Source organism: Homo sapiens, chromosome 16, assembly GCF_000001405.40.
Source record: "Homo sapiens chromosome 16, GRCh38.p14 Primary Assembly".
Taxonomy (NCBI): domain Eukaryota; kingdom Metazoa; phylum Chordata; class Mammalia; order Primates; family Hominidae; genus Homo; species Homo sapiens.
This window is the reverse complement of record NC_000016.10, coordinates 84,616,319-84,642,358: the sequence shown is the minus strand read 5'-3', so window position 1 is coordinate 84,642,358 and position 26,040 is coordinate 84,616,319. Positions and strand designations below refer to the sequence as shown.

Genomic DNA, 26,040 nt, shown 5'->3' with positions numbered 1-26,040 from the left:
TGTCTCTCTGACAACTATAGAAATGAAGTGGCTCAGGGACTTAGGATTTCAAGGTTGCAAACCTGGCTGGACCCCAGGCTCAGCAGGTAACCCTGTGTGAGCCTCGTTTCCTTTGGACCCGTCAAATCTCTCATATATAAAACAAAGCAACTCAGATCAAAGCCCTCCCAGCATTGTTGCCGCAGGAAGGGCACACACGCAGCTGCTTGCAACTTGCTGGTTACTTGCTGCCACTGCCAGTCACACACACACATCTCTGTATCCTGGAAACTTTTCTGTTTTGCTCTGAGATAGTAAGTTACGTACAACTCTGGGCCTCAGTTTCCTCATCTGCAAAATGAGAGTTAATCTATTTGCCAGCAAATACTTATTGAGTGTCTGCCATGTGCTAGGTACTATTTTAGGTGCTGACAACACAGCATTAATAGTGCAGATTAGAAAATTATGTTCCTCATGGTGCTGACCTTCTAAAGGAGGAATAATAATAGCATTCCTCTCCTAGGGTTAGTTTAAGGATTAAATGAGATAGAGCAGGAAAAGCATTTAACATGGTGCCTAGTACATTCTAAGTGCTTAATACGCTGCTGATTGCTAGTAATTTACCCAGCTCCCTTCTCCCATGGCTCTGCTACTCAGGATGGGGGACAGTTAACATGCATGCCTTCACTCTCCATCCCATGCCCATGGAAGCCATTGTTAGTTGATCACAGCAGACCCCAAGCTCAGAGGTCCCCATGGGATTCTAGGAGCAGAGCAGCAGGCAGCAATAACAGACACATCCTCTCAGAACTCACAGTCACCCTCTTCAACGTCACCTCCTGCATCACCTTCCCTGACAAGCTGCCTGTCCCACACAACTCTGGAGGCTGGGACCCCTTAGGTCCTGTCTGCAGAGTTCAAGCTGGAAGTCCAGGCCAGGCCTACCTCTCCTTAGGGAAATAGCAAGTGCACGGTCAGTTCCTCGTCAGCTGAGCAGCTGCTCTGACACTGACCTGGTGACAGGAAGTGGCTTCTTGCTCGGCTGCCTCTGGAGTGGATCTGGCTGTGTTCTCACCAGGGCTCCTAAAGTCTTGAATCCTGTTCTCTCCTTTATTTAAGAAAAATGGGGGCCAGGCACAGTGGCTCATGCCTGTAATCCCAACACTTTGGGAGGCCAAGGTGGGCAGATCACGGGGCCAGGAGTTCGAGACCAGCCTGACCAACACGGTGAAACCCTGTCTCTACTAAAAATACAAAAATAAAAATAAAATAAAATTAGCTGGGCGTGGTGGTGCATGCCTGTAATCCCAGCTACTCGGGAGGCAGGGGTTGCAGTGAGCCGAGATCGTACCACTGCACTCCAGCCTGGGCAAAAGAAAAATGGGGCCTAGCGTGATGTCTCACACCTGTAATCCCACACTTTGGGAGGCCGCGGCAGGCAGATCGCCTGAGGTCAGGAGTTGGAGACCAGTCTGGCCAACACGGTGAAACCCCGTCTCTATTAAAAATACAAAAATTAGCTGGGCATGGTGGTGGGTGCCTATAATCCCAACTACTTGGGAGGCTGAGGCAGGAGAATCGCTTGAGCCCTGGAGGTGGCGGTTACAGTGAGCTGAGATTGCGCCATTGCACTCCAGCCTGGGTGACAAGAGCGAAACTCCATCTCAAAAGAAAGAAAGAAAGAAAAATGGGTTGTTTCTAGGCGAGGCAAACAGTCCTGGCTGAAAGGGCTGAGTGGAACCCTGGCCCTGCGTCTGAAGTGGGAGAGGCAGGCGCATGAACATGCAATTGCAGTATCGTGAGATATAGGAAGGCAGAGGCTGGCCTTTGGCCATGGGAACCCAAGCGAAGGAGGACTGCAGGGCCCTGGGAGCCTGCTTCACACAGCAGGTGCCCATCCTCGACTGCCATCTCTGCCATCTGTAGCCAGACCCTTTAACTGGCCATCCAGGACCTTCTCTCACGCTGCAGGAACTGGCTCAGTAGGGCTCTCTTCTCTCTAGATCTTGCATCATTTTGGTGTTGCTGGTTGCATTAATTCAGTCATTCATTCAGTACAGCATGCTGGTGTAAAGATGGTCTGAGATCGACCCTTGCTTCTGCCGCTTGCCAGCTGTGTGAGCTTGGGCAAGTTACAAAGCCTCTCTGTGCCTCCCTTTCCTCCTCTGTGAGGTAAGGGTTACAATAGGGCCTACCTCAAGTGTTGCAGGGAGGATTTAGCAAGTTATGACATAGATCTCAGCACGGTGACTGAGGTGCCATAAACAAGTGACTGATACAGGCTTGCTGCTGCTGTCAGTCACACACACATCTCTGCCTCCTGGAGACTTTTCTGTTTTGCTCTGGGGATGGTAAATTCTACTAACTTTAAAAAGAAACCCTACACTTTCCTGGAATCCCTGGGATAAGGTGAATTTACTCATGATGTATAAACATTGAGGAGAGTTGTTGGAATGGTATTTGAAAGTGTAAGTGGGGGATCACCCTGCAGATGAGGGAGAGAAGGGATCCAGGTGAAGGGAAGAGCATGTGCAAAGGCCTGGAAGAACGAAGCAACATTCTGAGCCCATGAAGAGCCCAGACTGTCTGGACCACAATATGCTTGCAGGGAATGGTGGGAAATGGGGCGGAAGCAGCAGACCTTGGATTCCATGAGAGCAGAAACCACTCAGCACTGAGTTGGGTGTCTGGATGGGGTGATTAAAGTAGCTATATTTTATTGTATTTTTGTATTAGTCTGTTATCATGCTGCTGATAAAGACATATCTGAGATTGGGTAATTAATAAAGAAAATGAGGTTTAATAGACTCACACTTCCCTGTGGCTGGGGAGGCCTCACGATCACAGTGGAAGGCAAGGAGGAGCAAAGGCACATCTTACATGGTGGCAGGTAAAGAGAGAATGAGAGTCAAGCGAAAGGGGTTTCCCCTTATAAAAACCATCAGATCTTGTGAGATTTATTCACTACCATGAGAACAGTATGGGGGAAACTGCCCCCATGATTCAATTATCTCCCACCAGGTCCCTCCCACAACGTGTGAGAATTATGCGAGCTATGATTCAAGATGGGATTTGGGTGGGGACACAGCTAAACCATATCAATTTTTATTTTTATTTTTTTTTGAGACAGAGTTGCTCTCTGTCCCCCAGGCTGGAGTGCAATGGTATGATCAGAGCTCACTACAGTCTCGACCTCCCTGGCTTAAGTGATCCTCCCACCTCAGCCTCCCGAGTAGCTGGGACTACAAGTGCACACCACCACACCTGGCTAATTTTTAATTTTAACTTTAATTTTATTTTTTAAATTGTTATTTTAGGTTTGGGGGTACATGTGAAGGTTTGTTACACAGGCAAACACATGTCACAGGGGTTTGTTATACATATTTCATCACCCAGGTATTAAGCCCAGTACCCAATAGTTATCTTTTCTGCTCTCTCCCTCCGCCCAACGTCCCCTAATTTTTTAATTTCTTGCAGAGAAGAGGTCTCGCCATGTTGCCCAGGTTGGTCTCAAACTCCTGGGCTCAAGTGATCCTCCTGCCTCAGCCTCCCAAAGTGCTGGGATTACAGATATGAGCCACTACAACCAGCCAGTAGCTGTATTTTAAACTCCACAAGTAGATTGTAAACTTTGTAAAGATGAAACTCACATATTCTAACTCTTTGTCACATTCAATATACATTTGTTGTCTGCTTAAAAATCTCAGCAGCTGAGAGGCTCCTTTTTCTTATCACTTGCAAGCCACAAGCAGAGGATGCTGTCCAGGCCTCACCCACATCCCTAGTTCTGGACCCCTGCACCCATCTCCTGCCTGCTGGGACTTTCCAGCCCCTTGGGTAGGAGAATACTGAAAGTGCCTGAAAGCTTCCAGCCTCGCTCCCTGGTTGCCGAGGGCAGCGTGCAGCCGTGACTGGCCATCAGCAGGGTATAAAGGTCTGGCTCCCTTGCCTCAAGGTAGAGAGGTCAAGCGTGTGGCCCTAGCCATGCTCCACAGCTCCCTGGGGATCAGGCTGAGGCCAGGATCCTGCAGCGACGCGTCTGTGCCAGGCTTTCTCCCTGCCTTGTCATGCCCTATTTCCCTCTTCTCCCTATACATGTCTCCTGAGAGCCCCTCCTCAATAAACCACTGCACAGGAATCCATATCTCAGGTCCCGCTTCTTAGAAACCTGGCCTGGCAGGACACGGTGGCTCATGCCTGCAAGCCCAGCGCTTTGGGAAGCCCTGGCAGATGGATCGCTTTGGCCTAGGAGTTGGAGACCAGCCTGGGCAACATGGTGAAACCCCATCTCTACAAAAAATATAAAAATTAGCCAGGCGAGGTGGCATGTGCCTGCAGTCCCAGCTACTCAGGAGGCTGAGGTGGGAGGATCACTTGAGGTCAAGGCTGCAGTGAGCAGTGGCTGCATCACTGCACTATAGCTTGGGCCACAGAGTGAGAATCTGTCTCAGAAAAAAAGAAAAGAGGAGAGGAGAGGAGAAGAGAGGAGGGGAAAAGAAAGGGAAAAGAAAAGAAGAGAAGAGAGGAGAGGAGAGGAGAGGAAAGAAGAGAAGAAAAGAAAAGGAAAGGAAGAGAAAGCTGACTTAGGATGCCACAAATGAGTGACTGAATGAGTAGGCGGGGCTGGGGCTGACAGTGACTGGTTCTGTCTTCCTTCCCGCAGAGCGGTGACCCCTGCTCCCACCAATCCAGTTTTCCTTAGTCTAGGCTCCCCCTAAAGCCGCCCCTGAAGTTGGGCCTCAAGTTTGAGTAGTTAATTTGGAAAGTGCCGGAAGCACTGATTGGGAGGGGAAGTGAGACAGGGGAGAGAATGGATCCTAAAGGCATGATAAAGCGTGTCACTGATGAGGGTAACAGGGGCCTCATACCATAGAGAAGAGCCATCCCACCCAGGGGGGCGTCGGGGTACTCACACATCCATCCTGGCAGTATTGGCTGACAGCTGCTCACAGGTATTAATTAGCCCCCACTTGCAACCTGCTGGATAATTGGGAGAGCGATCTTCCGTGATTTTGGGGAAAAGCCCTCAGGCCCAGAGTCGCAGATACTGGCAGCCAAAGATTAAAGCCTAAGGGGTATGGATCAACAGCTGCACCTCCCTTTAGGGAGCTCTTTCTCCTCAATGCCTTTCCAGAAGTTTCTGTTGCAGCTGCTAATCTCTGTTGAAGCTGTCCATCTGAGAACCCCTCATAACACACCCCCATGGGCACATGGCCAGGTCCAGCCAATCATAGGCGCCTATTCCTTGGCTACAGTGATTGGCCCAAAGAATGGACATGTAGTCCCAGCAGGGCCAATCAGAATCCTTCCCTAGGATTTGTATATAGTTGTTGGGAGACAGACCTCTTCTTTCCATCTGTCACTGACTGGGAGTGAGGTAAGCTCAAAGTTCTCTGCATGGAAGAGAACTGTAGGTCATCTGTAGTAGAAGTGAATGTGGCCGGGCACGGTGGCTCACGCCTGTAATCCCAGCACTTTGGGAGGCTGAGGCGGGCAGATTACGAGGTCAGGAGATGGAGACCATCCTGGCTAACACGGTGAAACCCCGTCTCTATTAAAAATACAAAAAAATTAGCCAGGCGTGGTTGCCGGCGCCTGTAGTCCCAGCTACTCGGGAGGCTGAGGCAGGAGAATGGCGTGAACCCGGGAGACGGAGCTGGCAGTGAGCCGAGATCGCGCTGCTGCACTCCAGCCTGGGCGACAGAGCGAGTCTCCGTCTCAAAAAAAAAAAAAAAAAAAAAAAAGTGAATATGAGGCCGGGCGCAGTGGCTCATGCCTGTAATTCCAGGACTTTGGGAGGCTGAGGCAGGTGGATCACCTGAGGTTAGGAGTTCAAGACCAGCTTGGCCAATATGGTGAAACCCCATCTATACTAAAAATACAAAAATTAGCCGGGCGTGGTGGTGCATGCCTGTAATCCCACCTACACGGGAGGCTGAGGCAGGAGAATCGCTTGAACCTGGGAGGCGGGGGTTACAGTGAGCCAAGATTGTGCCACTGCACTCTAGCCTGGGCAACAGAGTGAGACTCGGTTTCAAGAAAAAAAAAAAAAAAGAAAAGAAAAATGTGACCAACACAGAGAAACAGGACTGAGAGATGAACAAGACAGAGGGAGAGAGAGGGTGAAGATGATGTTGCTCAAGTCCCCAGGTCTCTCTGTACCTCTCCTTTCTATGGGGTGTTTACCTGTGCCAGTAAATCCCCCATCTTCCCCCTGCTCCCCAAAACTGTTGGCTTAAGCTGACGTAGCTTCTGTTTCTCTCAATTGTGACAAGTGCGTCCTGACAAATGGAGGATCTAATGATATTTTAATCCCCCAAACTCAGAAGTGGCAGTATTTCAGGGATTAAGACATATTTGTCTGCTGAGAGCCCTGAGTTATGGATCTGTGTACTTGAGGCCAGTCCACGCCATTTCCATGCTGTTGATTCCCGGAAGGAAACTGGCATGCTTTGTATTTTTCTTTTCCAAGTTACATAACACGTGTAACTTGGAATGCGGGATGTGGGTGTGGAACAGGGTACTGGGGAATCCAGTCTGGGATGCACTGTCATGCCATCCAGTGTTCGGGTGACCGAGTGGTCAATCCTGTGGGAGCTCCTGGGGAGTGAAATGCATCTCAGAACTGTCCAACCAGGAGAGGAAAGGGGGACATATTCGTGTTTTTTATTCGTTTGCTTTGTTTTGTTTTTGAGATGCAGTCTCACTCTGTCACCCAGGCTGGAGGGCAGTGGCACGATCTCTGCTCACTGCAACCTGCGCCTCCCAGGTTCGAGCGATTCTCCAGCCTCAGCCTCCCGAGTAGCTGGGACTACAGGCACCCGCCACCATGCCTGGCTAATTTTTGTATTTTTAGTAGTGACAGGATTTCACCATGTTGGCTAGGCTGGTCTAGAACTGCTGACCTCAAGTGATCCGCCCGCCTTGGCCTCCCGAAGAAAGGGGGACACATTTGATTAACGGCTTTCACACTCCCATTGGTCAAGGGCCCAGCCCTGTCATCCTCTGGTTGTGCATGTATAAGTCCCTGGAGAGCTCTTCACAGTTGCACGCCATGGGGTCTGGGAAGTCCTGGGGCAGAAAACAAGAGTTCGGTGGCCCTGGCTGGTGGTCCCTGCCATTTTGCCCTTGCACAAAATATCGAGGCCTGCTCAGAGCCGCTAGCTGTGCGGCGACAGGAGGAAGATGCGAAGGATGTGTGTTTCGCCAGGACACTGTGTCTCATCTAACAGATTGACGATCACAGTCCCATGCCTACTGGGACTGCCTTGAATCAGGTTGGGAACTGTAGGGTCATCTCTGCCATCCCCTCGTGTGCCTTCTTGACCTTCAGTCTCTTCTCTTGTCTAGGTGTCACCATTAAGAACATTCCTAGATTTGTGAATTAGTTCCCTGACCCTGCCCACTGCCGCTGACCGGCTGAGAGTACTGGCACCAATAGTGGTACTGCCCTGGCTGGCATGTCCTCCTCCTGCCCCTGCCATGTCTCTTGGGTCAGTCTCAGAGAATTCTTCACATTTTAAGAAAAAAAAAAGAGGCCGGGCACGGCGGTTCACGCCTGTAATCCTAGCACTCTGGGAGGCCGAGGCAGGCAGATCACCTGTCAGGAGTTCGAGACCAGCCTGGTCAAAATGGTGAAACTCTGTCTCTACTAAAAATACAAAAAATTAGTCAGGCATGGTGGCGGGCGCCTGTAATCCCAGCTACTCAGGAGGCTGAGACAGGAGAATTGCTTGAACCCGGGAGGCGGAGGTTGCAGTGAGCCGAGATCGCGCCGCTGCACTCCAGCCTGGGAAAAAAAAAAAAAAAAGAAAGAAACCTGACTCTATTTATTAAGCAGCTTACACCACTCTTTGGCAAGCGGTGTGGGCTAGTATTCCCTGTTCACTCCCCATTTTCCACTTTCTCTGACCTTGTCTGACTTTGAAGGATGGCATCACCTGGGCTGCTCCTCCTATGACTTCTGGTTGGGTTCAGCCACTGGGAGGCACCGGAAGGAGACTGGAGGCCGGCAGGAGAGAGGTTGGGGCATTTCTCCCCAGCACACTCCCTGCTTCGGGCTGAGGTCAGCCCGTGGCCACATCCTTCCATGACCACTGCTCCTGCTGGGCGATCTTCTAACAGACAAATTATTCTGATGCTTTATTCAAAACTATTGCAATGGGGGAGAGAGACTGAGCTCAAAAACAAATGTAGCAAAGACAGCGGAGATTGGTAGCTGGTGAGCAGAGTGAGGGGTGAGTGGATGAGAAGTCACTAAGGGAAGACATTGGGGCGAGGGGAGTCCTGCTAAACCGACTTCACAGGATTCTTGCTACAGACAGACCAAGAACTTAAACAGCAAGGGTGGGGAGGATGGGGGATGTGATCAGATATCAAGGGTTGGGGCATCGTCCCTGAACTGACTTAGCAGGATTCTTTACTAAAACGGGACTCAGCAGACCAAAGACTGGATGGGTCCAAGGTCAAGGCCGAGTGGAGAGGCAGGCTCTGAGGAACTTGACTTTGGTCCAGACAATCCCTCCCCCGCGACTCCAGCTCCGCAGGCTCCAGGCACAGGCTTTCCTCCTGATCTGTCCTGCCTAGCGTGGGAACAGCGCCCATTCTTGCTCCCCTGGGTGTCTCAATTGCTCTTGTTGGCTCTTCTAACCCAGTTCTCTAAACAGTCCCTTGTTTACAGTCCCTTCAGAATTCCACCCGATATGCCTTCTGCTTGGTTTCAGCATCCTGACTCTCTACACTGGACACTTTGACTTTCAATCCATTTATCTGTCATTCTCCGGAACGGCTGCCAGGATGGCCTGTTTTCTAGGTGTCAACTTGGAGAGCCTGAACTTCTGTTCTAAAGGGAAGGTCAATCTGAACCCACAACATTTCATAGAGAGCGTATCAGGATCTACAATCAGGAGTCCTGGCTTCAGGGGCTGGCACTTTTACTTACTATTTTTCTTACTTTATTTATTTATTTATTTATTTTTGAGATGGAGTCTTGCTCTGTCACCCAGTTTGGAGTGGAATGGCACAATCTCAGCTCACTGCAACCTCCGCCTCCTGAGTTCGAGTGATTCTCCTGGTTCAGCCTCCCAAGTAGCTGGGATCACTGGCATGCACCATCATGCCTGGCTAATTTTTGTATTTTTAGTATAGACGAGGTTTCAGCATGTTGGCCGGGCTAGTCTTGAACTCCTGACCTCAGGTGATCCACCCGCCTCAGCCTCCCAAAGTGCTGGGATTATAGGCATGAGCCACCGCACCCAGCCTGCTTTTACTTACCATGTGTGTGACAATGAACAAATGGCCGAGCCTTAGTCTTACCACCAATAAAATGGGCACAGCAATACTGACCCTGCCAATCAGCCTGCAGCAAGCACTGTGTCTAGTGTTGTGAGGTCCCCAAGGGGATATTTGTTGAATGAAAAAAATGAATAGATGGGCCAGGCGCAGTGGTGCAGGCCTGTAATCTCAGCAGTTTGGGAGGCTGAGGCAGGAGGATCACTTGAGCCCAGGAATTCGAGACCAGCCTAGGCAATACAGGGTGATCTTGTCTCTACAAAAATACGAAAATTAGCTGGGCATAGTGGCATGTACCTGTTGTCCTAGAGACTTCGGAGGCTGAGGTGGGAGGATCACTTGAGCCTGGGAGGTCGAGGCTGCTGTGAGCCGTGATTGCACCACTGCACTCTAGCCTGGGTGACAATGAGACTGTGTGTCAAAAACAAAAACAAGCAAAAAGAATGAATGGATGATTGAATGAAATTAGCCAATGCATGAAAGACACCTCTAACTTCTAATGTCTAATCAAATTTTAATTATTAAGCCTTTATTTAACACGCTGTCTTAACCAACTTCTGCTGAACTCACTCACTAGATTAACAGACTTGTCCCATTTCTCCTGTGAAACATGCCAGCAGCTGCACACAGTGTGCTGAAGCCTCCTCCTGAGCATCTTCCCTAACCACCCGGGCTCTGTGCTTATCTAGAACTAGCCGCGTTTGCTCCCAAAACTGTTCGTGGCAGTTGTGTTGATTATGGTCATTAATTGATTTAATTAAATGTGACTTAAGTTGTGGGAACATGAGGATAAACAGAAGGAATATAATCGCTATAAAACTCAGATGAAACTTTGGATGACTTCAAGATGTAACTAAGACAACTGATACCGAATTAATTGCAGAAACTGGGGAAGGCTGGGTGGAGGGAATTGTGAACCCTGGAATGATTCTGCACATATATGATTTTGAAAGTGTCTTTGTGTAAAGAATAGGAAGTGGGAAATTGTAGCAGAAGGGTTACGGTTGTGGTCTATGGGAGAAGAGAGACACAACGCCTATTTCAGCCAGGCCGCTCTCAAAGAAAGGACACACTCATAAATACTAGGGCAAGAAAAAGATATACGATATAAATGAATTTAAGGTGTCTCCCTGACTTAACTGACTTTTTAGATTCACAATTAGCTGACTGACCAAAGTCCTGATTTCACAGGACAAGAAGGCTTCCACATCTTTCTGTTTTGTTTTGTTTTGTTTTGAGACAGGGTCTCACTTTGTCACCCAGACTGGAGTGCAGTGGTGCAATCTCGGCTCACTGCAACCTCCACCTCTGGGGTTCAAGCAATCCTCCCACCTCAGACCCCTAAGTAGCTGGGACTACAGGCGGACACCATCACACCTGGCTAATTTTTGTATTTTTTGTAGAGACGGGATTTCACCATGTTGACCAGGATGGTCTCGAGCTCCTGAGTTCAAGCGGTCTGCCTTTCTTGGCCTTCCATAGGGCTGGGATTACAGGTGTGAGCCACTGTACCTGGCCCCACATCTTTCTGAAGGTCTGTCTTGTCTTTGCTCCTATTCTTTCAATTTCTTTCTCTCTTTTCTCTGCTATTTTCTCTACCTATGCCCAAATATGGAACTAAAGATCATTAATTTATTATATTTACTGAATTAAATGGGGTATTCTGTGTTAATTAACTTAAACAATACTTCTTTACCTACTGCATGCCGCTGTTATAGGCTTACAGTCAAGGGCAGGCTTACTTTAGAGCCAAAGGCATGCTCGCTCACTTTAGCAAATGCTGCAGATAATTGTGGCCTTTTATTTGCACGTTGCTCACATTAATTTCTTCCTCTCTGTGGGCCTCCCCAGTGTAATACTTTCTCCTTCAGCATGTAGTAAGTGTTTCAGAAACAAACACGTATGAACCTAAAATTATATTTTTATTGTTCTGGGAAAAATTACTGTTTAAAGGACTTCTGCGGTACATTTGTGTGGTTTTGGTAAAACCAAAACCTCAGATTTTCTTTCTCTCTTGCTTTTTTTTTTTTTTTTTTTTTTTGCCTAAAGTCACACAGATAAACAAGTCTGTCTGCGGGAAACTTACAGCCTGGTAGTGGGAAATAGAACAGAGAGTTTTTACAAAGCAAGTGTAAAAACTCAATGAATGATACAAGATCCTTTGTGTCACCGTAACTTCTTTGATCCAGCAAAAGGAGAAACCAGTTCAGAATGGCCACAGCCACTAAGTCAAGAATTGACTCCTGGCTGGGTGCCGTGGCTCACACCTGTAATCCCAGCATTCCGGGAGGCCAAGGTGGGTGAATTGCTCGAGCCTGGGAGTTCGAGGCCAGCCTGGGCAACATGGTGAAACCTCGTCCCTACAAAGAATACAAACAATTAGCTGGGTGTGGTGGTGCACGCCTGGAAGGCCGAGGTGGGAAGATCACCTGAGCCTGGGAGTTCGAGGCTGCCATGAGCCATGATGACGCCACTGCACTCCAGCCTGGGCAACACAGTGAGACCCTGTTTTAAAAAAAAATTCTTTCCAAAGTACTATTAGAGGCTGGGCGCAGTGGCTCATCCTGTAATCGCAGCACTTTAGGAGGCCAAGGTGGGCGGATCACTTCAGGTCAGGAGTTTCAGACCAGCCTGGCCAACACGGTGAAACCTGTCTCTACTAAAAATACAAAAATTAGCCGGGCGTGGTGGCACATGTCTGTAGTCCCAGCTACTTGGGAGACTAAGGTAGGAGAATCCCTTGAACCCAGGACGTGGAGGTTGCAGTGAGCCCAGATCACACCATTGCACTCCAGCCTGGGTGACAGAGTGAGACGCAGTCTCAAAAAAAAAAAAAGAAAAAAAAAGCAAAGTACTATTAGAAGTAAAAATAAATAAATAAATAAATAAATAAATAAATAAATACATAAATAAAATTCTCAGAGCCCTTTGCTCTCACCGGGAACTCACTACCTCACAGAGGAGTGTATTTGGTCTCAATTGGAAAGACCTTCTTTATGTTGACCCCAACACTGTCTCTCTGTAACTGGTTTTGTTCTGCTCTCCAGAGGTTCATGCAGGAAGATGACCATCTGCGGCAAGAGAGAGCGCCTCAGGAATGGGGAGACGGTTCTCAGGTCTCATGGACCACACTTTGGGAATTGTGTTCTGATGTGCTTAAGCGGGGACTTAGCTGACACAGAGCGGGCTTAGGAGGGGAGGAGAAGCTATGGGTGTGGGTTTATCGTGCAGAAGAGAGGCTTCCTGAGGCCCTGAGACCTGAGAACCGTCTCCCGTTTCTGAGGAGCTCTCTCTTGCCGCAAAGTGTGGTTCAGCAGCTTACGGTACAGCACCCTTGTTTGGGGTGTGAGTCCCGCTATAGGGCTTGTTAGACCTGCTCCTCCCCCTTGCCCAGCCTGCTCTGCTGGGAATTGCTGTGATGCTGGGGTCTGCGGTGGGGAGGTGGAGGGGTGGGGAGGTGTCACCCTTTCAGGCTGTGTTCCTAAGTCCCTGGTCAGTGGCTCCCGGCTGGAGGGCAGGAAGGAAGAAAAGGCGGGGGTATTTCAACCTCTCTCTGGAGCAAATCTCCAGCAGCCACAGCTCTGCACTCCAGCAATCCCTGGGTGACGCTAGGTCCTGGTCTCCAGGGTCCCCCCTCCTTCCCCTGTTCTTCTGGCTGAGGGTCATTTGCTAATCTCTGTGCTGTGGCCAGTCTTGGGGGGCTTCACCAACCTGCTCAGCTTTTCAGCTTGCTTGTCCCTGATGTAGCCAATGCCAATACCTTGCATTCATTTTTTCCTAGTTTTGTTTGTTTGTTTTTTGAGATAGACTCTTGCTCTATTGCCCAGGCTGGAGTGCAGTGGTGCAATCTAGGCTCACTGCAACCTCCGCCTCCCAGGTTCAAATGATTATCCTGCATCAGCCTCCCGAGTAGCTGGAATTACAGGTGCTTGCCATCATGCCTGGCTAATTTTTGTATTTTTAGTAGAGATGGGGGTTTCACCATGTTGAACAGGCTGGTCTTGAACTCCTGACCTCAAGTGATCTGCCTGCCTCGGCCTCCCAGAGTGTTGGCATTACAGGCGTGAGCCACCGCGCCCGGCCTCCTACTTTTATATAGTTGATAGTTTCTGTTTTCCAGGGTGAAGTCTAGCATGGCGTGCTACTTTCGGTAATGTAGTTGAATACAGATATACAGGTTTGGGAAGTTGCATACAGATATACTGGTTTGGGAAGCTAGCGCTTAAAACACCTGCTATCATTACATATGTTTACATGAATTTTTTACTGTGATCCTCAAAAAATAAAAACCCTCCATGAGAGATGCTCCATTCACAGAAGAGAAAACTGGAGCTCAGGGGTATGGCAGAGCCAGGGTTTGGGTGAGCAGCTGCCCTAGCCCCTAACCATTGGAGCACACTTCCTGGCTAAGCGACCTGGGCTACCTGTGACCCCTCCCTGCCCTTCCTCACTGGAGGCTGAAGCCCCAGGTCGTGGTGCCTGGGGAGGAGCACTCAAGAGTGCCGTTTGACACTCCCTCATTCAGGGGCTCCACATCTGCATCTTCCACTGTTCCTGCGAGCCCCTTTTCAGAGATTTGACAGTCAGTGAGATCAGCACAGATTGCATAAATATCATTTTCTATAAATAGCCATTTCGTGTAAGACACCTGCTTCAGAATGACAACTACCTTGCTGAGAAAAGCAAGTTTCAGGGTTATGTTTTATTCCCAGGCTCCAATTACAGCTCAGGTGTTGTTTTTTTTTTTTTTTTTTTTTTTTAATTGGTAGCCCGAAAGAAAAAGTGGAAACCAGGACGCTGACCTTAAAGAGTCTGTGAGGTTTTTGCAATGAAAGAAATAAAGTCCATGCAAAAACCAGGTTCTTAAAAAGCCGGCACAGATTTTTCAGTTGCTTCAGGGCACATGTAGTGAGCCACCCTGGTTCAATGTCAAGGTCCCCAAACGCTACTTCTTGGTGTAGAGGCCAAGACCCTGGGTTCAAAAATGTTCAGACATGCGGAGGTGCCTTCCTGTCTTGAGGCCTGGGTTCCTTCATCTGTGTTGGGGGAACAGTTGCAGCATCTCCTCGGGTCGATGTGAGAATTCACTGGGAACATAGCCATCAGGCACGTAGCATGCAGCCTGGCACATAGCGCACAATATAGAGGAAGACGTTTCTTTTTTTTTTTTTTTTTTGAGACAGAGTCTCGCACGCACTGTTGCCTGGGGCTGGAGTGCAATGGTGCGATCTCAGCTCACTACAACCTCCACCTCCCGGGTTCACGTGATTCTCCTGCCTCGGCCTCCTGAGTAGCTGGGATTACAGGCGCACACCACTGCATCTGGCTGTTTTTATTTTTAGTAGAGATGGGGTTTCACTATGTTGGCCAGACTGGTCTCGAACTCCTGACCTCATAATCTGCATGCCTCGGCCTCCCAAAGTGCTGGGATGACAGGCGCGAGCTGCTGTGCCCAGCCAGGAAGACATTTCTATTATTAGTTTTACATAATGTGGTTACTATATAACATATATGATATGGAATATGGTTACTATTACTAATATATGTTATAATTATATAATTTTTTTTTTGGATGGAGGTTTGCTTTTGTTGCCCAGGCTGGAGTGCAATGGCGCGATCTTGGCTCACTGCAACCTCTGCCTCCTGGGTTCGAGCGATTCTCCCGCCTCAGCCTCCCAAGTAGCTGAGATTACAGATGTGTGCCACCACACCTGGCTAATTTTTGTATTTTTAGTAGAGACAGGGTTTTATCATGTTGGTCAGGCTGTTCTCGAACTCCCGACTTCAAGTGATCCACCCGCCTCAGCCTCCCAAAGTGCTGGGATTACAAGTGTGAGCCACTGCACCTGGGTGACAGAGTGAGAATCTGTTTCAAAAAAAAAAAGGAAAAAAAGTCTTCCTCCCCCTCTGGACAATCCTGTCTTCTTTGCAGGCTCCTTTCCCCATAAATGCTGGTGTTCCCTGAAGCTCTGCCCCAGACCTTCTTCTTCCACCTAAGCATCCTCCATGGGCCAACTCACACACCCTCGTGGCCTAATCACCACCGAGAGCCCTGTGGCTCCCAGAACCATATCTCCAAGCCAGGCTCTGTCCTGAGTCTCAGACCCGTCTGGCTGCTGGACGTCTCCACTGTCATGTCCTACCAGCAGCTCAAATGCAGTGACCCCAAGCATGATGCAGCACTGCCACCCCATCAACCTCCCACCTGGATGCTCAGCCCAAAACCTGGGAGCTTTCTGTGATTCTCTTTTTTTAGTTCAAAAATATAATTTTGGGACTAGTATTTTGCTGAGCTTAAAAAATATATAAGACTTTGGCCAGGCGTGGTGGCTCACCCCTGTAATCCCAACATTTTGGGAGGCTGAGGCGGGTGGATCACTTGAGGTCAGGAGTTTGAGACTAGCCTGGCCAACATGGCAAAACCCAGTTTCTACTAAAAACACAAAAATTGGCTGGGCCTGGTGGCTTACACCTATAATCCCAGGACCTTGGGAGGCCAAGGCAGGCGAATCACCAGAGGTCGGGAGTTCGTGACCAGCCTGGCCAAGATGGCGAAACTCCGTCTCTACTAAAAATACAAAAATTAGCCGGGCCTGGTGGTGTGCACCTGTAATCCCAGCCACTAGGGAAGGTGAGGCGGGAGAATCGCTTGAACCAGGGAGGTGGAGGTTTCAGTGAGCCAAGATGGCGCCACTGTACTCCAGCTGGGCGACAGAGTGAGACTCTGTCTCAATAAATAAATAAATAATAAAACATAAATAATAAAAATACAAAAATTAACTGGGTATGGTGTTGCACACCTGTAATCCCAACTTCTTGGAAGGCAGTAGAATCGCTTGAGCCCAGGATCGGAGACTGTAGTGAGCTGAGATCACGCCACTGCACTCTCTCTCAAATATATATATATATATGTATGTATGTATGCATATATATATATGACTTTTAAGTGTACAATTCAGTGATTTTTAGTGCAACCAAATTCACAAAGTTGTGCAGCCATCATCACTATTGAATTTGAAAACATTTTCTTCAACCCCTGAAGGAAACCCCACACTCACTAGCAGCCACTCCCCATTCTTCCTCCCCCGACCCTGCAGCCACCAATCGGCATTCTGTCTCCATAGATTTGCTTATTCTGGACTTTACATATAAATGGAATCATACGATGTGTGGTCTTTCGTGACTGGCTTCTTTGACTTAGCATAATGTTTTTGAGGTTCGTACATGTCGTAGAATGAATCAATACTTAACTCCTTCGTATGGCTGAATAATATCCTATTATACAGATAAACCACTTTTGTCTATCCATTCATCAGCTGACAGATATTTAGGTTTCCACTTTCTGGCCATTATGAATAATGCTGCTATGAACATGCACATACAAGTTTTCATGCGGACATATGTTTTCCTGTCTCTTGGGTATATTCCTGGGAGTGGAATTCTTGGGCCACATAATAACTCTATGTTTCACATTTTGAGAAACTGGCAAATTGTTTTCCAAAGCAGTTGCACCATTTTCCATTTCCAAAAGCACTGTGTGAGAGTTCCAGCGTCTTCACATCCTCACCAATACTGGTTATTGTCTGTCTGTCTTCTGGTGTGAAGTGGTATCTCTTGTGCTTTTTTTTTGAGATGGAGTCTTGCTCTGCTGCCCAGGCTGGAGTGCAGTGGCTCACTGCAACGTCTGCCTTCTGGGTTCCAGTGATTCTCTTGCCTCAGCCTCCCAAGTAGCTGGGATTTCAGGCACCCACCACCACACCTGGCTAATTTTTTTTATTTTAGTAGAGACGAGGTTTCTCTATGTTGGTCATGCTGGTCTGGAACTCCTGACCTCAAGTGATCCACCGGCCTCGGCCTCCCAAAGTGCTGGGATTACAGGCGTGAGCCACTGCTCTCGGCCTCCTTGTGCTTTTGATTTGCATTTCCCTAATGACCAATGACACTGAACATCTTTCCATATGCTTAGTGGCCATTTGTAAAACTTCCTTGGAGAAATCTTTCTTCAAATTCTTTGTGTATTTTTAAATTGGGCTATTTGCCTTTTTATTGTTGAGTTGTAAAAGGTTTTTGTTTTTAATATTCTGGATACTAGGCCCTTATCAGATATGATTTTGCCCGTACTTTCTTCTTTTCTGTGTATTGTCTTTTCACTTTCTTAATGGTGCCCTTTGAATCACAAAAAGTTTTTGTTTTGGCTGGGTGCAGTGGCTCATGTCTGTAATCCCAGGACTTTGGGAGGCCGAGGTGGGTGGATCACCTGAGGTCAGGAGTTCAAGACCAGCCTGACCAACATGGTGAAACCCCGTCTCTACTAAAAATACAAAAACTTAGCTGGGCGTGGTGGCAGGCGCCTGTAATCCCAGCTACTCGGGAGGCTGAGGTGGGAGAATCTCTTGAACCTGGGAGGCAGAAGTTGCAGTGAGCCGAGAGCAAGCCATTGCACTCTAGCCTGGGTGACAAGAACAAAAAACTCCATCTCAAAAAAAAGAAAAAGAAAAGAAAAAAGGAAAACAATTTAGTTTTGATGAAGTCCAATTTATCCAGTTTTTTTTAATCACTCCTGCTTTTTGTGCCACAGCTAAGAAATCTTTGCTTAATCTAATATGACAAAGATTTATGCCTATCTTTTCATCTAAGGGTAACTCTTATGTTTACGTCTGTGATCCACTTTGAGTTAATTTTTGTATATGGTGTGAGGTAAGTGTCCAACTCCATTCTTTTGCATGTGCTATCAAGTTGTCTCATCACTGTTTATTGAAAGACTGTTCTTTTTCCATTGAACTGTCTTGGTACACTTGTCAAAAATCAATTGACCAGGCCGGGCACGGTGGCTCATGCTTATAATCCCAGGACTTTGGCAGGCCAAGATGGGTGGATCACCAGAGGTCAGGAGCTTGAGACCAGCCTGGCCAACATGGTGAAACCCCATCTCTACTAAAAATACAAAAATTAGCGGGACATAGTGGCGGCTACTCAGGAGGCAGAGGCACGAGAATTGCTTGAACCCAAGGGGAGGAGGCTGCAGTGAGCCGAGATTGCACTGCTTCACTCCAGCCTGGGAGAAAGAGTGAGACTTTCTAAAAAAAAAAAAAAATTGGCCATAAATGTAAGAGTGTATTTCTGGACTCTCAGTTCTATTCCATTGATTTCTATGCCTGTGCTTTTGTCCATACCACCTTCCTTGGCTCTGCACTCCCTGTCGCTCTGCATCCTTCCATTCAACAACAAGTTGTGTGTCTGTCTGGGACTGGTGCTGTGCCGGGAACTGGCATTCAATGATGAGCAAGATGAACGTTATTCCTGCCCTCATAGACCTGATGTTCTAGGAGTGGATAGACAATATTCGAGTAAAGGGATAAATGAAAAAGGTAATTTCAGATAGTGATTAGTGAGTACTACGGAAAACAAAAAATGGTTATGGGATAGTGGCTGGAGGAGGGTTACAGAGGGGGACTTTTAAACTTTGGGATGCTGGGGAAAGCCCCTCTGAGGGAGGGGGTAACATTTGAGGTCAGAATGAGAAGTTAGCCATTCAGATTTTGGGATGGGGTGTGCCAAGCAGAGGGGTAGAATTTGCTTGAAGATGAAACTGATACACAAAGGAGGGCAAAGTAGAGACATGCAGAGCTACAGAGCCAGGAGTAAACCATGCCTGAATTCCACCTTCATCTGGACTCTTGTCAGCAGGTCTTTACTTTTTTTTTTTCCATTGTTCAAGCCCATTTGAATTGAGTTTTCTGTTGCTGACAACCAACAGTGTCCACAGTGAAGTAAATGCTTGTCACCCATAATAGACTTTAAGCCCTGAGAGGACTGGGAGATATTAGTCTAGTTCACATTTGCACACAAATAGCTCTTGTGTGCATTTTTATCACCAAAATGTAGGAATAAGAGATTTCTCAGAGACATCCAGATTTTTTGCTTTGCTGAAACAACCAGAAGCTTGGCATTGTGCATAGCAACTATGGCAGAGCTGAGAACCAGTGACTCTCTTTGGATGAGGAAGCTGCTCTGAGCATGAAACTTTCACCTGGAGGAAGACAGAACAGAGAGGATCACCTTTTCCAGAACAAATTTTCTTACATGGTCTGTGCTTGGTTCATTTACATTCCATGCCTGCCCCCTACAGGCAAGTAAGTTTGTGACCCCGCCTTGGACACGAAATAGGCTCAGTGCCAGGAAAGAATGAATGAATGGATGGATTAATTTATAGCAATTCCCAATTCCTTTTTTTTTTTTTTTTTGAGACAGAGTCTTGCTCTGTCGCCCAGGCTGGAGTGCAGTGGCCTGATCATAGCTCACTGAAGCCTTGATCTTTTTTGGTTCAAGCAATTTTCCCACCTCAGCCTCTCGCGAGTTGGGATTACAGGCACCTGCCACCATTCCTGACTAGCTTTTATTTTTATTTTTATTTAGAGACAGGGCTTTGCCATGTTGACCAGCCTGGTCTCCAAATTTTCGGCTGAAGCAACCCTTCTGCTTCGGCCTTCCCAATTGTTGGGATTACTGCGCCTGGCCTACTTCCCCAGTTCTTAACACAGTGCATAGCACATAGTTAAGTGTCAAATACTTTGATTTCTCTTAAAGAAACATGAATTGAATTAGATTGTTTTATATCACATGGATTGCAATTTAAACAAATATTTACACAGAATATTTATTTCTGATATGAGGTTTATTTTTCTCCTTTAGCTGGGCAAATGGACAGCAAGGTGCTCAAAATCAGGGTTCTCTTTCAAACCAATCCCTTACACTTTCGGTCCAGTAGAGGGCGATCGCAACAATGACTAGAAAGAGAACAGCAATGAAAGGAGGACTGAAGTGGGGCTTCCCAGTTCCCTACACATTCATAGGATTCCTCCAGGAACGCTGAACCATGGAGACTGAGGATTGAATTCAGTATGGCAGCCACGTTTCTGGGTGGTAGTTTAGCATTCTGAACAGATAATACATTCACGTGGTCGAGAACTAAACTAAAACAAGAAGGTATGTAGTAACACCCACCACCCTCCTACCCCAATCCCTAACCCTTTTTGCCTGACTTTCTGCTTCACCTCCACCACAGGTACTGTTAGTTTTCTCTTGTGTTCTCTACCAGAAGTTTCAATGCCAATGCCAATATAAACAAATGCAGGCTGGGCGTGGTGGCTCACGCCTGTAATCCCAGCACTTTGAGAGGCCAAGGCGGGCGGATCACCTGAGATGAGGAGTTCGACACCAGCCTGACCAACGTGGTGAAACCCTGTCTCTATTAAAAATACAAAAATTAGCCGGGCGTGGTGACGTGCACTGTAGTCCCAGTTACTCAGGAGGCTGAAGCAGGAGAATCACTTGAACCCGCGAGGCAGAGATTGCAGTGAGCCGAGATCGCGCCACTGCACTCCAGCCTGAGTGACAGAGCGAGACTCCCTCTGAAAAAAACAAAACAAATACAATATTAACACCCACCCCATTTTACCCAAAAGGTAGTGTTGTTCTGAACACACTATTCAGTAGCTAGCTTTGCGTATTCATGATCTATCTTGTAGAATGTTCCATACCAGCATCTAGAGAGGGTCCTCATCCTTTCTTTCTTTTACAGCTTCATAGTCGTGCATGGTTCACCAGCGTTATTACCTATTCATCTAGCCCCTCACTGATGGGGACTCAGGTTAGCCCTCACCTTCTGCCTTAAAAGTAAAGCTCAATGAATAACCCTGGATATATTTTGCACACATACAAGTGTATCTATTATCTATAGCAGTGACTTTCAGCCCCAGTCGAACGTAAGCATCACTCAGGGGGCTTTACAAAAATCCCCATACGGGTGGCACACAACTCTAATCCCAGCACTTTGGAAGGCCAAGGCGGGCAGATCACTTGAGCTCAGGAGTTCCAGACCAGCCTGGGCAACATGGCAAAAACCTGTCTCTACAAAAAAATACAAAAATTAGCCAGGCGTGGTGGCACGTGCCTGTAGTCTCAGCTACTTGAGTGGCTGAGGTGGGAGGATCGCTTGAGCCTGGGAGGTCAAGGCTGCAGTGTGCTGAGATTGCACCACTGTACTCCAGCCTGGGTGACAGAGTTTTTTGAGGCAGGCAAGACCCTGCCTTTAAAAAAAAAAAAAAAAATGCCGAGTGCGGTGTCTCATGCCTGTAATCTCAGCACTTTGGGAGGCCGAGGCGGGCAGATCACGAGGTCAGGAGTTCAAGACCAGCCTGCCAACCCCATCTCTACTAAAAATACAAACATTAGCCAGGCGTGGTGGTACGCACCTGTAACCCCAGCTACTCGGGATGCAGAGGTTGCAGTAAGCCGAGATCACGCCATTGCACTCCAGCCTGGGCAACAGAGTGAGATTCCTTCTCAAAAAAAAAAAAAAAAATCTCCATACCCAGGGCATATCTCAGACCAATTATATCAGAATGTCTGGGTGTGGGATCAGGGGACCCTGGTGATTCCCATGTCCAGCCATGGCTGGGCACCACTGACCCTATAGGGTAAATGGATTGATCAAGGGCACACAGACTTGTAAATTTGCTAGACATTGCCAACTGGCCTCTACGGCGGCTCCATGGGGGTTGTGTCAATTCACACTCCCACCAGCAATGTACAAGAGGACCTGGGTCTTCCACAGCCTCCCCAGCAAAGTAGGCTTGTCAAAGTTTTTTATTTTTACCAAACTGCTAGTTTATTTATTTATTTTTTAAAGGTATCTCAATTTTGCTTTAATTTGCATTTCTCTTACTAGGAGTTGAGGTTGAGCATCTTTTTGCATGTTTAAGATCATTTAATCTGTCTGGTCATATTCTGTGCCCATTGTTCTTTTCATTTTCTTTTTTTTAAGTTTGACTTCTCTATATTTTAGCAAGACTAATTCTTTACTTGAGTTGCAAACACTTTTTACTGCTTTGTCTTTTTATGTTTACACTTTGCATGAGGTGGTATGGTATGTTTTTTTTTTTTTTTCCTGGATCACTTTTTATGTGTTTGAATGTATTCATCTTTTCAATGGCTTTTGGATTTGGATTTGGGTAACATGGTTTATGGTTAGAAGGAAGCTCCCCATATTTTCTTCTGGCACTTTTGTGATTTCCTTTTTTTGAGACAGAGTCTCGCTTTATCGCTCAAGCTCGAGTGCAATGGTGCGATCTCAGCTCACTGCAACCTCTGCCCCCCGCCCCGGGTTCAAGCGATTCTCCTGCCTCAGCCTCCCAAGTAGCTGGGATTACAGTCGTCTGCCACCACGCCTGGCTAATTTTTGTATTTTTAGTAGAGATGGGCTTTCCCCCTGTTATCCAGGCTGGTCTCGAACTCCTGAGCTTATGAGATCCTCCCACTTCAGCCTCCCAAAATGCTGGGATTACAGGAGTGATCCACTGCGACTGGTCTGATTTCCTTTATTTGTGTTTAAATTTTTGATCCTTTTGGAATTTTCCCTGATCAAAGGATCCACCTTTGTTCTTCTTTCTAATGGCCAATTGTCCCATTACCCTTGTCAAGGAGTAAGGTAGGAATGGCTTTGTGGGGTATGAAATGTGAATTTCTTTTTGTCTTATTTATAACAGCATCTGCCTCTACTCTTCTGAAACTGTGTTCCTGTCCACCCACCCATTCAACTACCCATTGATTGACTGATTGATTGATTCATTCAATTTCTCGTTTTTGTTTTTTTGCTTGTTGAGAATTCTAACATTAATTGGACATTGTCCCTGACCTTTTGGGTTTCTATTTAGGATTTGTTTTTATCACTTAATAACCAACAATGATGACATTTTATCGAATGTCTAGTATATTTGTTCCAAGTATCATTTCAATTACACTTAAAACAAAGCAGTGATGTCAGTTATACTATTTTTCCCATTTGAGGAGTCATTTAAAAGAGGTTTTGAGGCTTTCCAATGGCCCCCAGTTGGAAAGTGGCAGTACTGGATGCAATTCAAGAGCCCAGTCTTCAGGATCCTGCCTTTTTACCTACCTGGACGCTGTAACTGGTCTCTGTGGAATGGCTGGATGAGGGAATGAATGAATGAGTCAGTGAAGGAATGAGGAAGACAGAATGAGTCAGCTCGTGCTTTCAGAGGAGCCCAAAGGGAGAGGTTAAGATAGGAATGCAAATGACCAGAATCCAGAGTAAACGCGAGCCCACCAGCGTTTTGGAAGCAGTCCACTTTCTACCCCCTCCTATTTAAAATGCTTCATTCTTTCCAGTTCCTCCCCACCTAGAATCCATGGAACCAAACGCTGGGGTAGGGACAGTGGCCAGCCTGTCTCCTTGGGTTTGACGCATTACATCATCCACGTGGAGGTCCCCTGTGGAGCTCTGCAGCCCTGCAGCCTCAGGGGCAGGGGGGTGGGGAGAATGAGGAAGGGGGAGAGGGGGAATAGGAGGAGGGAGTAGGGGACAGGGAGGGAGGAGATGCCAGGAGGGTAAGTGGAGAAGAGGGAGGCGAAGCCGGGGGCAGCAGGGGAGGGGGTCAAGGAGGAGGAAAGAGGAGAGCTTGGGGAGAAGGAAATAGGGAGGATGGAGAAGTTTTGGGCTGGGATAGGCAAGAAGAGGGAGGAGGAGAGAGGAAGAAGAATAAAGGGGGAAGGGAGAAAGAGGGGGAGGGAAGGGAGGGGGAAGAGGTCAGGGAAGTGGGGGAAGCAAGCAGTGGGGGAAGAAGAGGAAGGAGGAGGGAGAGGAGGAAGGCGGGGTGGGAAAGGGGGTTGGGGTAGTGGGAGTTTCCAGGGAGGGGTCGGGAGGGGAGGAGGGGAAGTGAGAAGGAGAAGGAGAGAGAAGAGGGATGTTGGGGGAGAAGAGAGCGGGAGGGAGGAGGGAGAGTGAGAGGGAGGAGGCAAAGCCCCTACTCCAGCCCCCACCGCGGAGTTGCGCAAGCCTTCCGGTCTGGGATTGGCCGCCAGAGAATCAAGACGCTCCGCCCCCGCAGCCCGACGGCCAATGAAGAGGCGGGCCGCCGCCTGGGCGGCCAATGGGCGCGGGGGGGCGGGGCGGGCCACGGCCTGGGGTCCCCGCGCGCTCTCCGTCCGCAGTGGAAGCCGCCGCCGCGCTCGCAGCTTGCAGGCGCCGCGTAGCCGTCGCCACCGCCGCCAGCCCGTGCGCCCTCGGCGCGTACCCGCCGCGCTCCCATCCCCGCCGCCGGCCAGGGGCGCGCTCGGCCGCCCCGGACAGTGTCCCGCTGCGGCTCCGCGGCGATGGCCACCAAGATCGACAAAGAGGCTTGCCGGGCGGCGTACAACCTGGTGCGCGACGACGGCTCGGCCGTCATCTGGTAGGAACTTTTCATTCGTCTCCACGCCCCGCTCCCCGGGCTCGCGCGGGGCCTCGTGCACCGAGCCGGCCTCCAGGCGGGACGGATTCGGGCCTCCCGCGCTGTCTTCCTCGCCTTATTCCGGGACGGCGTGCCAGGCCCCCGCGGGCTTCTCCGTGGCCAGCGCGTCTGTTAGATTGTCCTCTGCAAGCGCCGCGTCGCGCGGCCACCAGCGCTGATGTGTGTGTGTGTTTTTTTCTTCTCCCAACCCAAAGGGTGACTTTTAAATATGACGGCTCCACCATCGTCCCCGGCGAGCAGGGAGCGGAGTACCAGCACTTCATCCAGCAGTGCACAGGTAGGGAGGCGCGCCTGCCGGGCGGATGCGCGGTCGTTGGGAGGTTGTCTGCACCCGGGGAGCCCCGGCCAGAGCGAACCCGGGAGGAACCGGTGGCCACATGGGGTGCCCCTGGCGCATGGCGTGGGAGGAACCCGGTGTGAGCGTTTTAAGGCCTCATAAAACCTTCTCCCCTCTGGACATCCGAAGCAACAGAAGTGACCCACCTGCCTCCGCCATCCTACAATGCCTTCTCCAGGCGGGGCAGCTCTTTTGCCCCCTGCGGTCCACTGGTTTTCTAAGGTCAACTCCTGTGTTTCCAAACTCCAGTGTCCATCCAGCTCTTCCCACTGTCCCCTTTGATCAGTCACTGAGCCCAAATACGAACAGGCTAGGGGGCTGCTTGGAAGGGAAAGAAACTCAGCCGCGCCCTCCTTTCTCCCGCTATCATTGTCTGCCCGTGTGCTGATTTTATGTGATTTTTAATTTGACGAGTAGAATCAGATGCAAAAGAGTACACACCATATGATTCCATTTAGAAATCCTAGACAAGGCGAAACTAATCTATGGTGTGAATGTCAGAATCGAGATTAGCTTTTGGGGCTAGATAGCCACTGATGGGGAGGGGCACACCACCCGGACTGCTGGGAGCTGAAAATGTCTCTGTAGACATTTGTTGATCTGGGAGGGGGTTATGCAGGTGTGTACCCGCGTGAAAAATCATCAGACTGTATACTTAAGATTTGTGTGCCTTAGGCACTTCCCTGTGGCTTGTGAACCATGAAAAGAAAGACCACGTGGCAGGCATCGCCATAAACCCTTCGGTAGTGGCAGAGGCTCTGTGATGTTGGTAATGGGACCTTTTAAAGAGATTGGAGAATGCGACTCCCTCCCATCTCTGGTCTTTAGTTGGAAGCAAGCTTTCGGACAACGGCAGCACAGCCCGGAGGTTACGGCGTGGACCCTGAGCCAGACGGTGTGGGTTACTTATTTATTTATTTATTTATTTATTTATTTTTGAGACAGAATCTTCCTCTTTTGCCCAGGCTGGAGTGCAGTGGTACAATCTCAGCTAACTGCAACCTCCGTCTCCCGGGTTCAAGAGATTCTCCTGCCTCAGCCTCCTGAGTAGCTGGGATTACAGGCGCCCACGACCACGCCTGGCTAATTTTTTGTAATTTTAGTAGAGATGGGGTTTTCACC

At 48.5% G+C, this 26,040-nt stretch overlaps 1 protein-coding gene across 1 annotated transcript in view, besides 3 other annotated features; it reads left to right on the top strand.

Moving 5' to 3' along the window:
- Nucleotides 868-1,426: an enhancer, noted in NCBI's record as "H3K27ac-H3K4me1 hESC enhancer chr16:84674539-84675097 (GRCh37/hg19 assembly coordinates)". NCBI's record gives its function as "activates a minimal SCP1, AML or CMV promoter by ChIP-STARR-seq in primed H9 embryonic stem cells {active_cell/tissue: H9 hESC(primed)}" and the evidence as "EXISTENCE:reporter gene assay evidence [ECO:0000049][PMID:30033119]".
- Nucleotides 24,023-24,382: a silencer, noted in NCBI's record as "silent region_7786". NCBI's record gives its function as "represses an Ori minimal core promoter by ATAC-STARR-seq in GM12878 lymphoblastoid cells {active_cell/tissue: GM12878}" and the evidence as "EXISTENCE:reporter gene assay evidence [ECO:0000049][PMID:35858748]".
- COTL1 (coactosin like F-actin binding protein 1) overlaps nt 24,281-26,040 on the top strand; it is a 52,483-nt gene continuing 50,723 nt past the window's right edge. Inside the window, exons 1-2 of the mRNA NM_021149.5 lie at nt 24,281-24,521; nt 24,776-24,858. Coding sequence (NP_066972.1) covers nt 24,445-24,521; nt 24,776-24,858 — 160 coding nt within the window. The 5' untranslated portion in view covers nt 24,281-24,444. The remainder of the gene's footprint in view (nt 24,522-24,775; nt 24,859-26,040) is intronic.
- Nucleotides 24,403-24,452: a silencer, noted in NCBI's record as "silent region_7785". NCBI's record gives its function as "represses an Ori minimal core promoter by ATAC-STARR-seq in GM12878 lymphoblastoid cells {active_cell/tissue: GM12878}" and the evidence as "EXISTENCE:reporter gene assay evidence [ECO:0000049][PMID:35858748]".